Raw genomic sequence first — 13,550 nt, forward strand, 5'->3', positions numbered from 1 at the left:
TTCTTTGAATCCTAAGTCATTGGCATTCTTCCCTTCAGCCCATCCCTTTGCAGCACTTCTCTGACAAAAGGGAAAACTGTAGCAACTTCTTAAAGCAGTGTTTCTCAAAGTACAACCTACAGGCCACTTGTGTCAGAATCACGTGAGGTACATTTTAAACTGCAGATTTCTGTGCCCCTCACCAGACTACAGAGTTGGAATCTCTGAGAGGTGGGCCTCAAGATGTGCATTTTACAGGTTATCTGTATGATTTCTACACTCACCAAAACTGTGAGTTGTTGTGTTACAATAAGCACACCATTAGCAGCCATATTTTGTGACAACAAACACAGCATTATTAGTAACAGACTTGTCTGGCAGCACGAGGTGAAAATAACGAGTTATTCTAGCTCAGTTTTTATGAGATTGGCTTATCTAAAGTGGGCCACAAAGGGAGCTCTAAAATTCTGTTAATCCCACACTCTATTGGCATTGAGAGCTCTAGGACCTGGATTTTCTTGGGACCAGAAGCTGAAGTTGTAGCTATGGCCAGTGAGGGTGGTTGAAGCCTGGTTACCTCATATTTGGGTTAGGATGAAGGGCTGGTACTGCAACACCTGGAGGCAGGGGAGGCCTGAGGAGACTGAAAAGAAGCAGCACTGAGTTTGCTTTTCTGTGAAGGCAGTGTTTCTGCCACCCCAAAGTTTATGGCTGACAAAAGATGTGAAAGAATGTAGGAGAAAAGGTGTCCTCTGTGGCCTTTCCTACTTTCTATCTTGGGTTTCTGAGAAAAGTTTATTTTAATATGTGGTTTTCTATAAAAATCTTTGTTTTTATTTCTTTTTTTCTTCTTATCCTGATGTTTCTAAATCTCTAATTTTAAGCCTTATCCTTCCTCTCATTTAAACAACCTTATTCTCTTTCTGTGAACTTTTTACTCACTTTTAAATCAGTCAATATTCATTTTTCCTTCCCATCACTAGCAAGAGCTGAACTGCTTAGAGTGTAATCTCACCTTCCTCCACAGAGTGCTCTGTAATTTCATACACTTGTGACAAGGTCTCCAGGCTAGATGAATTTTTCCACTATCCCAGGACCCTATCTCAGAAAAACAGCATGCACAGATCCTCAGAAGGTTTGGATAGAAAATAAATCCTGGAGAATGGCAGTGAAAATGGCAGGGTAAGAACTCTAAAAATTAGTAACTCCATGAAAGCAATGAAAAACCTGGCAAAAAATTATGACAGTCAACTTTTTCAGAACTCTGGAAACTTATAAAAGTCTGCAGCAAAAAAAGTTTGTTCAAGGAAAAAACAGCTGGATTTCTGTAAGAATAGGAAACTTTATGGCATTTTAACTTGTCCCATTCCTCAGCTCAGCAGTAGCTTTGGAAAAAAAAAAAAAAAACAGCCAATATTCCTGGCACATACTGGCGGATGCCAGAAGAAGTAAAATGGAGTTGGATTTATTTCAAGGTCTTATTCCCAAAGACTTATCATTATTTGACTTGTTTGATGATTTCCTGGAAGACTCCACTTAAAAGCTGAATCAAAACTACTGATTGTGCAGAGCTTTCTCCACAAAATGGTAGTCTGAGATTATGCAGTCTGAGGATATAGAATGAAGAAAAAGGAAGAGATCTTCAGAGACTTGTGGGACACCATCACACATACCAGCATGTACATAATGGGAACTCCAGAGGGAGAAGAAAAAGAGAAAGTGGCAGAAAGGCTATTTGAACTAATAATGGCTGAAAATGTCCAGATTTGATGAGAAACATTAACTGGCACATTCAAGAAGTTAAACTCCACATGGGAAAAATTCAAAGAGACCCAGAGCTAGACACCTCATAATTAAACTCTCTAAAGCAAGGAATCTTAAAAGCAGAAAGGGAGAAGTGGCTCATCACATACAAGTGATTCTCGGTAATATTAATAGCAAATTTTTACATCAACATCTAGGGAGACCAGAAGCCAGTGGGAAGACATATTCAAATAACTGCAAAGAAAATTATCAACCAAGAATTTTCTACCCAGAAAAGCTGTCATTCAAAAATAAAGGAGAAATTAAGATATCCCAGAAAAAAAAACAACTGAAAATATTTTTCAATTTATTTTGAAAACAAACCGAAGCAGTTTGTTTTGAAAACAAACTTGCCCTACAAAAGTACTACAGGAAGGTCTTCCAGCTATAAAAAAAAAAAGACACTAGGCAGTAACTTGAAGCTACATAAAGAAATAAAGTGTACCAGTAAAACTACATAGATAAATATGAAAGTCAATATAAATGTATTTTTTTTTGCTTATCACTCTGTATTCTCCTGATTTAAAAGACAACAGCTTAAAGCAATGATCATAAGTCTGTGTTGATGGGCTTTATACATATACATATGTATAAAGATGAAATTTGTGATAATAACAACATAAAGGGGGACAGAAATACGTGAACAAAGTTTTTGTATACTATTGAAATTAAACTGGTATTAATTCAAACTAGATGGTTATAAATTAACATTTTAATTATAATCCCCAAGCAACCACTAAGAAACTAACTCAAAAATCTATACAAACAAATAAAAAACAAGGGAATTAAAAAGTAAACAGTAGTGGAGGAATTGAGAAATAAAAAACAAGGTGTAGTGCATAAGAAATAATAAAAAGGCAGACATAAATCCTATCTTAATAATTATTTTAAATGTAAGTTAAGTAAACTCTCAAGTTAAAAGGCAGCAAATGGCTGAATGGCCAACAAACACATGACCTAATTATATGCTCTCTGTAAACAACATAGTTTCAAAAATACAAATAGTTTGAGAGCAAAAATATGGAAAAAACAATACCATAAAAAGAATAACCAAAAGAGACCTGGAGTGGCTATAGTAATACCAGACAAAATAGGGTCTAAGATGAAAAATGTTAATAGAGACAAAAAAAAGATACTTTAAAATGGTAAAAGGGTACTTCATCAAGCAATAGAGCAATTATAAACATACATAAACCTAACAACAGAATTCAAAATACATGAAGCAAAAACTGACAGAATTGAAAGAAGAAATAGACAATTCAACAATAATCGTTGGAAACTTTAATACCCCAATTTTAATAATGAGTAGACAAACTAAACAGAAAATTAGCAAGGAAATAGAAGGCTTGAACAACTCTGTAAACCAACTTGACCTAACATACCTATAGAATACTCCACTCAACAACAGCAGAATACACATTCTTCTCAAGGGCATATGGAACATTCTGCAATATAGACCATGTATAAATCAACAAAACAAGTCTAAATAAAAGTAAAACTATGGAATATTATACAAATATGTTTTCAGGTCACAATTGAAAGGAAGTAGAAGCAATAAGAAATAAATTGGAGGCCGGGCGCGGTAGCTCACGCCTGTAATCCCAGCACTTTGGGAGGCCGAGGCAGGCGGATCACGAGCTCACGAGATCAAGACCATCCTGGCTAACACGGTGAAACCCCGTCTCTACTAAAAATACAAAAAAAAAAAAAAAAAAAAAATTAGCCGGGCGTGGTGGCGGGCACCTGTAGTCCCAGCTACTCGGGAGGCTGAGGCAGGACAATGGCGTGAACCCGGGAGGTGGAGCTTGCAGTGAGCCAAGATTGTGCCACTGCACTCCAGCCTGGGCGACAGAGTGAGACTCCATCTCAAAAGAAAAAGAAAAAAAAAAAAGAAATTGGAGAATTTCACAATACCCGAAAATTAGACAACATACTCTCTTAACCAATGGAACAGAGAAGAAATCACAAGAGAAATTAAGAAATTCTTAGAAATGAATTAAAAAAAAAAACCGAGGATGCAGTAAAAGTAGTGTTGAGAGAAATATATAGCTACAAATGCTTGTATTACAAAGACGTAAGATCACAAATCAATAACTTATCTTCCATCTTAAAAAACTAGAAAACTAGAAAAAGAAGAGATAACTGTGTCTAAACCAATCAGAAGTAAGGGAATAATAAAGATTACAGCAGAGGTAAATGAGTTCAATATTGTATTACAAGTACTAGCCAACACAATTATGCAATAAATGAAACAAATGGCATCCATATTGGAAATAAATTGTATAGTGGTGATGGTTACACAGTCTTATAAATGTACCAAAGCCTGCGGGTTCATCCACTCACTCAATGGTGAGTGTTTGGTATATGAATTATATGTAGATTTTATGAAAACGAGTCCAACAGGCCTTTATAAAAATCTGTGTGATTGAAAAAATACAAATCTATTAGCTTAACCATATGTCCCTGAGTTGATTCCCTTGTCCCCTGTGAAACCATTTTATTGTTATATTATGACTCACCATTTTTTATTTTTATGTCTCTCTAGCTTATGGTGAAAGACACGAGGAGTTAATTAACTTAGGAAGCCCAGACTCCCACACTATTAGTGAGGGACAAAAATCTTCAGTAACTTCCAAAACAACAAGGAAAGGCAAAGAAAAGTCTTCTGAGAAAGAAAAGACAGCCAAAGAAAAACAAGCACCTCGCTTTGAGCCTCAGGTGGGTGTGGAATTTTTTTTATTTGAGTGACTTAATGATTTTAGGTTCAGTGGATTCCTATTTGCCTATCTCGTCTGAGGACAAAACCGTGAAACATTCTTTCTCCCTGATTCCAGAAACCATCTAGATACTTTGAGGACATTCCTTGGACACCTTCCTCAAGCTCCCTTTTCTAGTTCAGTATCAAAAACTATCAATTAAACCTTTAGTATGTAGAACACTATTCATGGCACTTGGGTTTCTAAGATAAATATGACTCAGTACTAACCCTAAAAGAATTCACAGTCTAATAATGGAGGAGACTGAAGGTAAACTGAGAATTATAATGTTGAATGCTATATGTGCAGTGGTAGAAAGGATAGGTTCTAATACAGCCCCTTCCAGGAGGAACTGAGTTCTGAACCGAGTTAATAAGCAAAGACGTGATGAGGCGAAAACTCAACCTGGTTTTTTGAAGCATTAAAGTATGAGAGATGAGGCTGGAGGGGTCAGTAAGGGTCAGCTGGAAAAGGGCCTTAAAGCGTCATTGGAAGGCTGGGACTCTATATACAGTCCAGAGGTTATGAGTCTAAACTCCTTCAGGGCCAGTTAGAAAATTGCCATGATTAGGGGTAAGGAAAAGGATGTGGATGGCAAACTTGAGGAGTACAAGCACAGGCCTAAAGATTTTCAAGTAACCAAAAAACAGCGCACTCTAAACAAGATACCTATGAGTACAAAATCTTCCCACCATTTATGCCTAGGTTAAGCAGGACTGGAACTAGGGGTATTTAAGAAGCACATTAACATGATCAGATTTACATTTCAGATACCCTAGTGGCTTTTAAGGGTGTGGACTTAAAGGAGAAAAGACAGGAGAGGAAGATAATTCAAGAAAATACTTCAGTAATCTAAGCAAAAGAGTGCAAAGTGTGTCAGGAACAGGAAAAAAGGAAGGATGGGACAGATCAAGAAGTATCTGGAAAACAAAAGGTGGGGTGCAGTTATTAATCCAAAGTGGGTGTTAAGGAACAAGAAGGAACAAAGTATATCTCTCAGGTTTCCAGCAGGAATAGCTGAGTAGGATGTCAGTACCATTAAGAAAATAGACAATAAAGGAAAATTAACAAATAAGAAGAGATGATGACTTGTTGTTTCAGACTCCAGGAATGGTTCCTATAGATTTCAAAGATTTCATTTCTTAGCTGAAGTCTACCCTTAGAAGTAAATAAGATTAACCCAATCCATAGATTCCTACAAGAAGACCTCCCTTAGTACCTTCACAGTGCTCCCTTTCCTGATCAAAATTTGATCCCAGAAAAGTCTCTGATAAATTCATGTATTAAGCAATTTAAAAAATAATAAAAGCTAATATACCCTGTGTTAAAAGGAGGAAATAAAATAATTTCCAATTGTGAAAGTCAATTCTCACCAGAATATTAGGGAAATATTGTAGAAAGCAAGGTCATTTGGTAACACTAAAACCAAACTGCAGGTGGAAACTGTATTCAGTGATTATATCAATCCACTCTTCCCAGCTGCATTATTTATCAGTGATAATTGACATAGCCTCGACCTTATGTAAAGTGCTATGTAACCACAATAGTTTCAATCCTCTCTTCCTACCCAATTGCCACCTATGAGCCTCACCTACGTAAAACTTGTCTCCCAGCCTATGATACATGCAGGTGATCCCATGAGACATTAAAATGTTGTTAATTTTCATGATGAATATGTAGCAAGTATATACAGACCTGGAAATGATCAACTATCCTACTCTCATTTTTATGAAGAGATGCTATGAGTGAACATAATTACAATTTATAATTTAATGTGTACAGTTTTAAGTAAAATTTGCATACATGAAATGCACAAATCACAGTTATAACATTCAGTGAGTTTTGATCAATGTATTCACCATGTAATCCATGACCCTATCAAGATATAAATTATAGATAATTCCCGAGTTTATGGAAATAATCTCAAACTTCTTTGCATTCAATTTTCTAATTCTCACACCTCATCTCCTGGTAACAACTGATCTTTCAGTCACCATAGATTAGTTTTGCCTAAATTGCTCTGGAATTTCATACTAATGACATACAAGACGATGTACCCTTTTGTGTTCGACTTCTTTATCAAAGTATAATATCTGTCTGTGGTGTATATCAATAGTTTATTACTTTTTAATATTAAGCAGAGCCCAATTATATGACTATATTACAATTTGTTTATCCATTCCTCGATTGATAGACATATATGTTGGTTTTTTGTGTGTATTATGAATAAGACTGCAATGAACATTTTCGTACAAGTCTTTTGTGAATATATGTTTTCATTTATCTCTAGTAAATACCTAATAGTGAAATTATGTATCATATGGTAAAATCTAGACCCTTTTGAAAGAAGGAAAGCATGCAAAACCCAAAGGTTTTTATTTTATCAGATATCCACTGTTCACCCTCAACAAGAAGACCCAAATAAACCCTACTGGATTTTGAGGTTGGTCACTGAACACAATGAATCAGAATTATTTGAAGTGAAAAAGGATACAGAAAGGGCAGATGAAATCCGAGCCATGAAACAAGCCTGGGAGACAACTGAGCCAGGAAGAGCAATCAAGGTCACCTGATTTCGAAAAGCTGTCATCTTTTACTTTTCCTCCTTAGGCATGCTCTGAAAAAAATAGTCATGCTGGTAAAAACCATATAGCCTGTCCTTTAGTAATGGTATCTGAAATTTTATCAGACAGGCATTGAATAACTACGTTAGGACCACCTTTGGACACATTGTAAAATGTTACCCTCCTGATTACCCAAAGGACTTGCAAAAACAAAGCACATGGTGGTACCAATTATAGGCCCACACTATGGGTTACCTCATTCTTTCACATAGCCCTGGCTTTCTGCACGTCTGCTCTTAACACCCCCAAGTAAGAAAGCATTCAAATGTTTAATATGTGCTTTACTACACTTTGCGCAGCCTTAGATGGATTAAAAACCATGTGCTGCCCCCTTGTGGAATATACACACCTAGTCTCTAGAGTCTAGAGACCCTAGAGAGTCTCTGACCTATTTCCTGTAAGAGCGATTGCCATAGTGACACTATTACCATGTAAGTGCTTCATGTCACAACTCAGGGTTATTGGGCAGATGAAAAAGATTCAGGAACCACTGCATCTAAGATAGTATGCCCAGAAATGTATTCTTTTTAGGGCTGCTTCTTCATCTATTCTCAAAAATAACTGTCAAAATCATGGATGATTCAGAATTTGAGTTTATCTGATAATGAAGAAGAGCTGGTCTGCTTCATTTAGACTGCCCTATTTAATTCACATTTTCCTGTTTCGTTTTCGATTGAATACCATTAACATGTATTACCTGTACTGGTTGTTGCTTTTGAAGAGCTTTTAAAAAGCTGCTCATGTTTGTTTTTTAGGCTTCTCAGGCTCGTTTGCATTACCTTAGCGGGTTCATTAAGAAAACATCTGATGCTGAGAGTCCGCCTATATCTGAAAGCCAAACTAAACCAAAAGAAGAAGGTGAGTGGATCCTACCACCCCAGCTGCCTCAGAGCACAGAGCTGTGATTTGCACTTCTTAAAAAAATAATCAGTGGGTTGTGCTTGGTGAAAAGGAGACATTTCAGAATCTCGTTTCTTGAGGATTATAAAAAGTCGCACAATTTCAGATAACTATATGAATAGTGCTTCAATTTTCAAATCACTTTCACACATTTTCCCATTTAAGTCCTACATCTCCCCCTTCACACACACTGTGCAAGGAGATGTGATTTTCTCCATTTAACAAATGATAAAACCAGAAAGAATGATGCAACCTAGTTAGAAAGTAGCAGTATAAAACTTGAAGGTAGGTCTACTACTATATTATTATTAGAAAGGTACCAGACTTAAACAATAACAAAAAGAAGTCATTTTTAAGTATATAATATATATTTTAAGTATATATTATATTATTTATATATATTTAAGTTAGTATATATATATATTTAAGTATATATTATATTATATATATTTAAGTATATATTATAATATTATTCCAGTTTATCAATAAGGACACAGGCACCAGAGACCCTCAGTAATAGTCTAAGTTCAGGGCCAGAGACAGAATTGGCCTGCAGACAGGCCCTTCATAATGCCAGTGTCTTCTCACAGCTACTTGACTGATTACATCGATTGCCACACTGAGGTGTCCGTGGAGGCAGAAGGCGTTCACATCCCAAATCATGCTTTTCCATTTTTGTATATTCAGGAATGTAATTCAATAATTGTTATAAAAATAATATCTCTTAACTTTTCATATGAACAGTGTGAATAGCAAGTACCATCCTAATTCTGTTATCCTGGGATAGGCAAAGCATTTTACATTTATTACCTCACTTTAACCTATAGCAACTATGAGGTATGTATTACTTAGTCTACTCATCTTAGAGATAAAGAGACCAAAGCTCAGAGAGCCACCTTATTCTTCCTAAGTCATCCATCTCAAAAGTGATGAAGTTGGGATCTGAAATATTTCTAACTCAAGTACTCACTCCTCTAATAGAGTCTAATGTAATGCTAGGAAAACAAAGGTGAATAGGATTCAGTTCTTGTCTTTTAGGCTATAGATTTATTATTTTTTTTATATTTTGTTTTAATGTATGTGTATAAAATATTACACTGAATACATTAAACATGACCAAAAATAGGGGAAGTCTCCCCTACTTCCAGGCTACTGAAGTAGGAGAGAAAGATTGAATTCAACCGTAGATACAACAGGAACAAGTGGGGAATTAAAACCAACAGTCCAGGTGAGGGAGTAGATGGTAAATTACTAAGAGGAACTTGGTTAGGTGTCAAGGGTCAGGAAAGAGGAACTTGATTTGATATCAAGTGGGGAAGGATTCTGGATAAACTGACTTAGCAGGATTTTTTGCTAAAACTGGGGTCAGCAGGCCAAGGACAAGGCCTAGTTGAGAACAGGGCTCAGAGACCCTGACCCTGTCATAGAACACACATACAATAAAAGCCACAAATTGTAACTGTACAGCTCGATTAATTTTTGCATGTGAATACTCAGTGGCCACTGCTTAGATCAAGATTGGAAACACCACATACTAAAGTCCTCCTCGTTTGTTTCCAAGTCATTTCCTCCCTCAAGGTAACAACTAGTTGACCCCCATCACCATCAAATAATTTTGCCTATTCTTGAACTTCAATTTAGACTCATATGTACCCCGTATGTCTCACTATTTAGTTATTTTATTTCTTACTGTGCCTGGAATAGTAAGCTTCATTTTATAAGAAATTTGTCTATTTTATGTAGGTTCAACTTACTGGAATAAGTTTCCTTTTTACCTTTTTTTCCTCAATCAGTCTTGCTCTAGGGATATATCAACTTTAATAATATTTTTAGGGAATCGACTTTTGACTACTGACTATCTGCCTCTTATTTCAACATTTCTTCATGCTCTTAAGTACTTTCCTATTGCCACCTTTCTTATTTCAACATTTCTTCATGCTCTTAAGTACTTTCCTATTGCCACCTTTCTTATTTCAACATTTCTTCATGCTCTTAAGTACTTTCCTATTGCCACCTTTCATTCAATGCAGAACATAACATGAATTTGGTCACCTGCAATTGATAAATAGGAAAATAATGTCTCTATATAATGAGGAAATTATGGTAGGTTTTACATAGTTTTTCCTAGGCTAGGGATCTGGAACACTGAATAGACTCAGAGTATCAAGAAAAAACTTCCCAGCTTTATGATGTCACAAGAAAGAGCTCTGTTCAGCTCTATTTTAAGACAATTTTAAATAAATGTCTGCATACAGGGATCCCCCTGCAGAGAGGAACACCCTATCTATTATGAAGCATTGTCAGCATAGGGCTAGTTGTACTTCCTCCAGGGCCGACCTTCACAGCATCCCCAATAATTCAAATATCCTATTTCCATGTATGCTGTCCCAACTTCTAAAAGCCTCTATTTTTATGTGACATTTTAATATATGGAGGCAGCTTTCAGACACACTTCCTGCCTGGGTCAGCCTTCTAGGGTGACAGTCATTACTTTTGCTAGTGCTCTGGTTAGAAGTTATAGAGCTTTTGAGTCATCTGCTCTAAATCTGTGCTCCCATCATCAAGCCCTGTTACTGTTTGCATGTGATTTCATGGAACGCCAGCTTTTTCAGTAATGCACATGTCATGTTGTAGTAGAAACAGCTGCACGTGGCGTAAAAGAACCAAACTCAAAGAATTCTGCAGGTTCAGAGAGCAAAGAGATGACACAAACAGGATCAGGGAGTGCGGTGTGGAAGAAGTGGCAATTGACCAAAGGCTTGAGGGATGTGGCAAAATCCACGAGTAGCGAAAGTGGAGGAGTGTCTTCACCAGGGAAAGAAGAGCGCGAGCAGAGCACACGGAAGGAAAACATTCGTAAGTATTGCTGTCATTGGTAACATAAACATGTATTTTCAAATAAAAATTATGGAAAAGATTTTAACTTAAACATCAGTGACGGCTAGGGCTATAGAAGTAGAAAAGATGTCTTTCCGATATATAGATTTTCATTTTACTTAATGGAGTTGGGAATTTGCTCAAGGACCTGACTACTAAATATTAACCAAAAGACAAAAGTGGGCAAAAGCCCCCCTACAGATTTGCAGGTGTATTTTTTCTGTGTATAGGTTTTCTGTGTCTACAAATGCTAGAAATAAAATGTCAGCATTCACACATACACTTCTCGTTAAACACAGATTTTTTTGTGTTATCTGTAGTATGCTACAAGATAGATTTCCTTTTTACCTTTCATAGCAAATTTTAAGAATGTCATTTTTTAAATGTTGAAAAAGAGCAATTTTCAGTGGTGCACAAGTCACCCTGACCTGATTCATTTCTATATGGATTCATATCTGTTCACTAAACTGAACTAAAACCCTGATCAAAGGAAAATGCCTTTCCACACTCCTGGTTTCCATGAATTCCTAAGCAACTCCTCAACTCCTTCTGTCTTAAAGGGAACTAAATGTCCTATTAATGCATTTGGAGAGAATGAATGAGGCTGCCCATGGAAGCACTGCTTCTCTCTCAGGTGTGAGCACTACCTAGACTGTGCTGGAACAGTCAGTCAGCTTCAGGTGATCATGGCCCATTTGTCTCTCACATCAAGCTACATCCTCCGATTAAACCTGGATCAATAGTATAATCTTACTCTATTTTTCTACTTGTTTTGAACCCAGACAGCAAAGAAAGAAATCTTAGAAAGAAGCATTCTCAGAAAAGCCAACAATGGTTCTTTTCTCAAAATTGCTAAACAATTCTGAGAATTTTTAAATTAAGAAGTGTTTAAAGCTAAAGTATGTCCTTAAGTGATTTCCATACTGAGAGGAAAATTCTAAAATTAAAAGGAATCTTTTACTATACTAACAAGAGATTCTGATATTTTTTAACCAATATTTTGAAAGTACATGCCCATTCAATAGGTAATAGCTCACATGATGGTAGCAGTAAAACTCATTAGAACACATTTCATTTACCATTAATATTTAATTTGTAGAGTAATTTTTCCACTCTTATCTCACTTGAGATTCCAGGAATTAGAGAAAGCATATATTGCTATCTCCACTTCTAAAATGACAGAATTGGCAAATAACTCACCCAAGGGCAGGAAACTGATGCAGTTTGGCTAGAACCTGGACTTACACCCAGCTCTTTGGTCTCCATATATTGTGATCTTGAACTGAACACAAACTTTTCCTCATCCTTAGTTAATTTAAAGATCTATAAAATAGAAAAATGTAGCCAAAACAATGCAACTTAAATTCTGATATCAAATTATTTACTTATGTGCTAACAAAGTAATCCTTTTTGAAATTTCATTTTTAATTAACAAATAATTATATATATTTATGGGGTACAATGGGATGTTTTGATACATGTATAGGTTATGGAATGATCAAATTAGGCTAATAAATATATTCATTACCTCAAATACTTATTATTTCCTTGGAGTGAGATCATTTAATATCCACTCTTTGAGCTATTTTGAAACATCCAATAAATTGTTAGCTGTGTTCACCAAGCTATGCAATAGAACACCAGAACCTATTCCTGCTAGCTAACTGAAACTAACTATACCCTTTGACCAACATTTTCCCTTTCCTTGTCCACTACACTATGACCCCCCAGCCTCTGGTAACCACCATCCTAATATCTATATCTACAAGTTCAACATTTTTAGATTCCACATATAAATGAGATCATGCCGCATTTGTCTCTCTGTGGCTGGCTTTTTTACTTAGCATCTTGTCCTCCAGGTTTGTCCATAATGTGGCAAATGACAGAATTTTCTGTTTGTTAAAGGCTGAAGAGCATTCCATTGTGTCTACATACCACATTTTAAAAAATCCATTCCTCTACTGATGCGTACTTTGGTCCTTTCAACATATTGGCTGTTGTGAATAACGTAATGCACATACAAGTACAGACACCTCTTTTACGTACTTATTTTAATTCCTTTGGATATATACCCACAGGCAGGATTGCTGGATCATGTGGTAATTCTACTTTTAGTTTCTTGAATAACCTCCATACTGGTGTTTCAAATGGCTTGTAATAATTCCCAGTACCACCAAAGTGTACCTGAGTTCCCTTTTATTCACACTCTCACCAATGCTTGTTATCTCTCATCTTTTTTTATAATAGCCAATGTAACAGGTATGAGGTAGTATCTCATTGTGGTTTTAACGTGCATTTTTCTGATGACTGGAGATGTTAATCATCTTTTTATATATGTGTGGGTCATTTGTGTCTCTTCTTTTGAGTAATATCTATTCAGGTTCTTTACCCATTTTTTAATGTAGTTATTTGCTTTCTTATTATTGAGTAGCTTAAGTTCCTTGTATGTATTGAATATTAGCCTCTTATCCAATGTATGGTTTGCAAATATTTTATCTCAACCCATGGTTGACTCATCACTTTTCATTGTTTCATTTGCACAGCAAAGGTTTTTAGTTTGGTACAGTCCCACTTGTCTATTTTTACTTTTGTTTCTGTGCTCTTAGGATCA

General features: G+C 36.1%; 1 protein-coding gene across 1 annotated transcript in view; it reads left to right on the forward strand.

Moving 5' to 3' along the window:
* Positions 1 to 13,550, forward strand: part of ADGB (androglobin) — a 216,491-nt gene that overhangs the window by 178,721 nt on the left and 24,220 nt on the right. The window contains exons 30-33 of the mRNA NM_024694.4: positions 4,328 to 4,500; positions 6,926 to 7,102; positions 7,918 to 8,020; positions 10,697 to 10,918. Of these exons, the coding sequence (NP_078970.3) occupies positions 4,328 to 4,500; positions 6,926 to 7,102; positions 7,918 to 8,020; positions 10,697 to 10,918 (675 nt within the window). The remainder of the gene's footprint in view (positions 1 to 4,327; positions 4,501 to 6,925; positions 7,103 to 7,917; positions 8,021 to 10,696; positions 10,919 to 13,550) is intronic.

The sequence above is a fragment of the Homo sapiens genome, chromosome 6 (assembly GCF_000001405.40).
Source record: "Homo sapiens chromosome 6, GRCh38.p14 Primary Assembly".
Classification (NCBI taxonomy): Eukaryota; Metazoa; Chordata; class Mammalia; order Primates; family Hominidae; genus Homo; species Homo sapiens.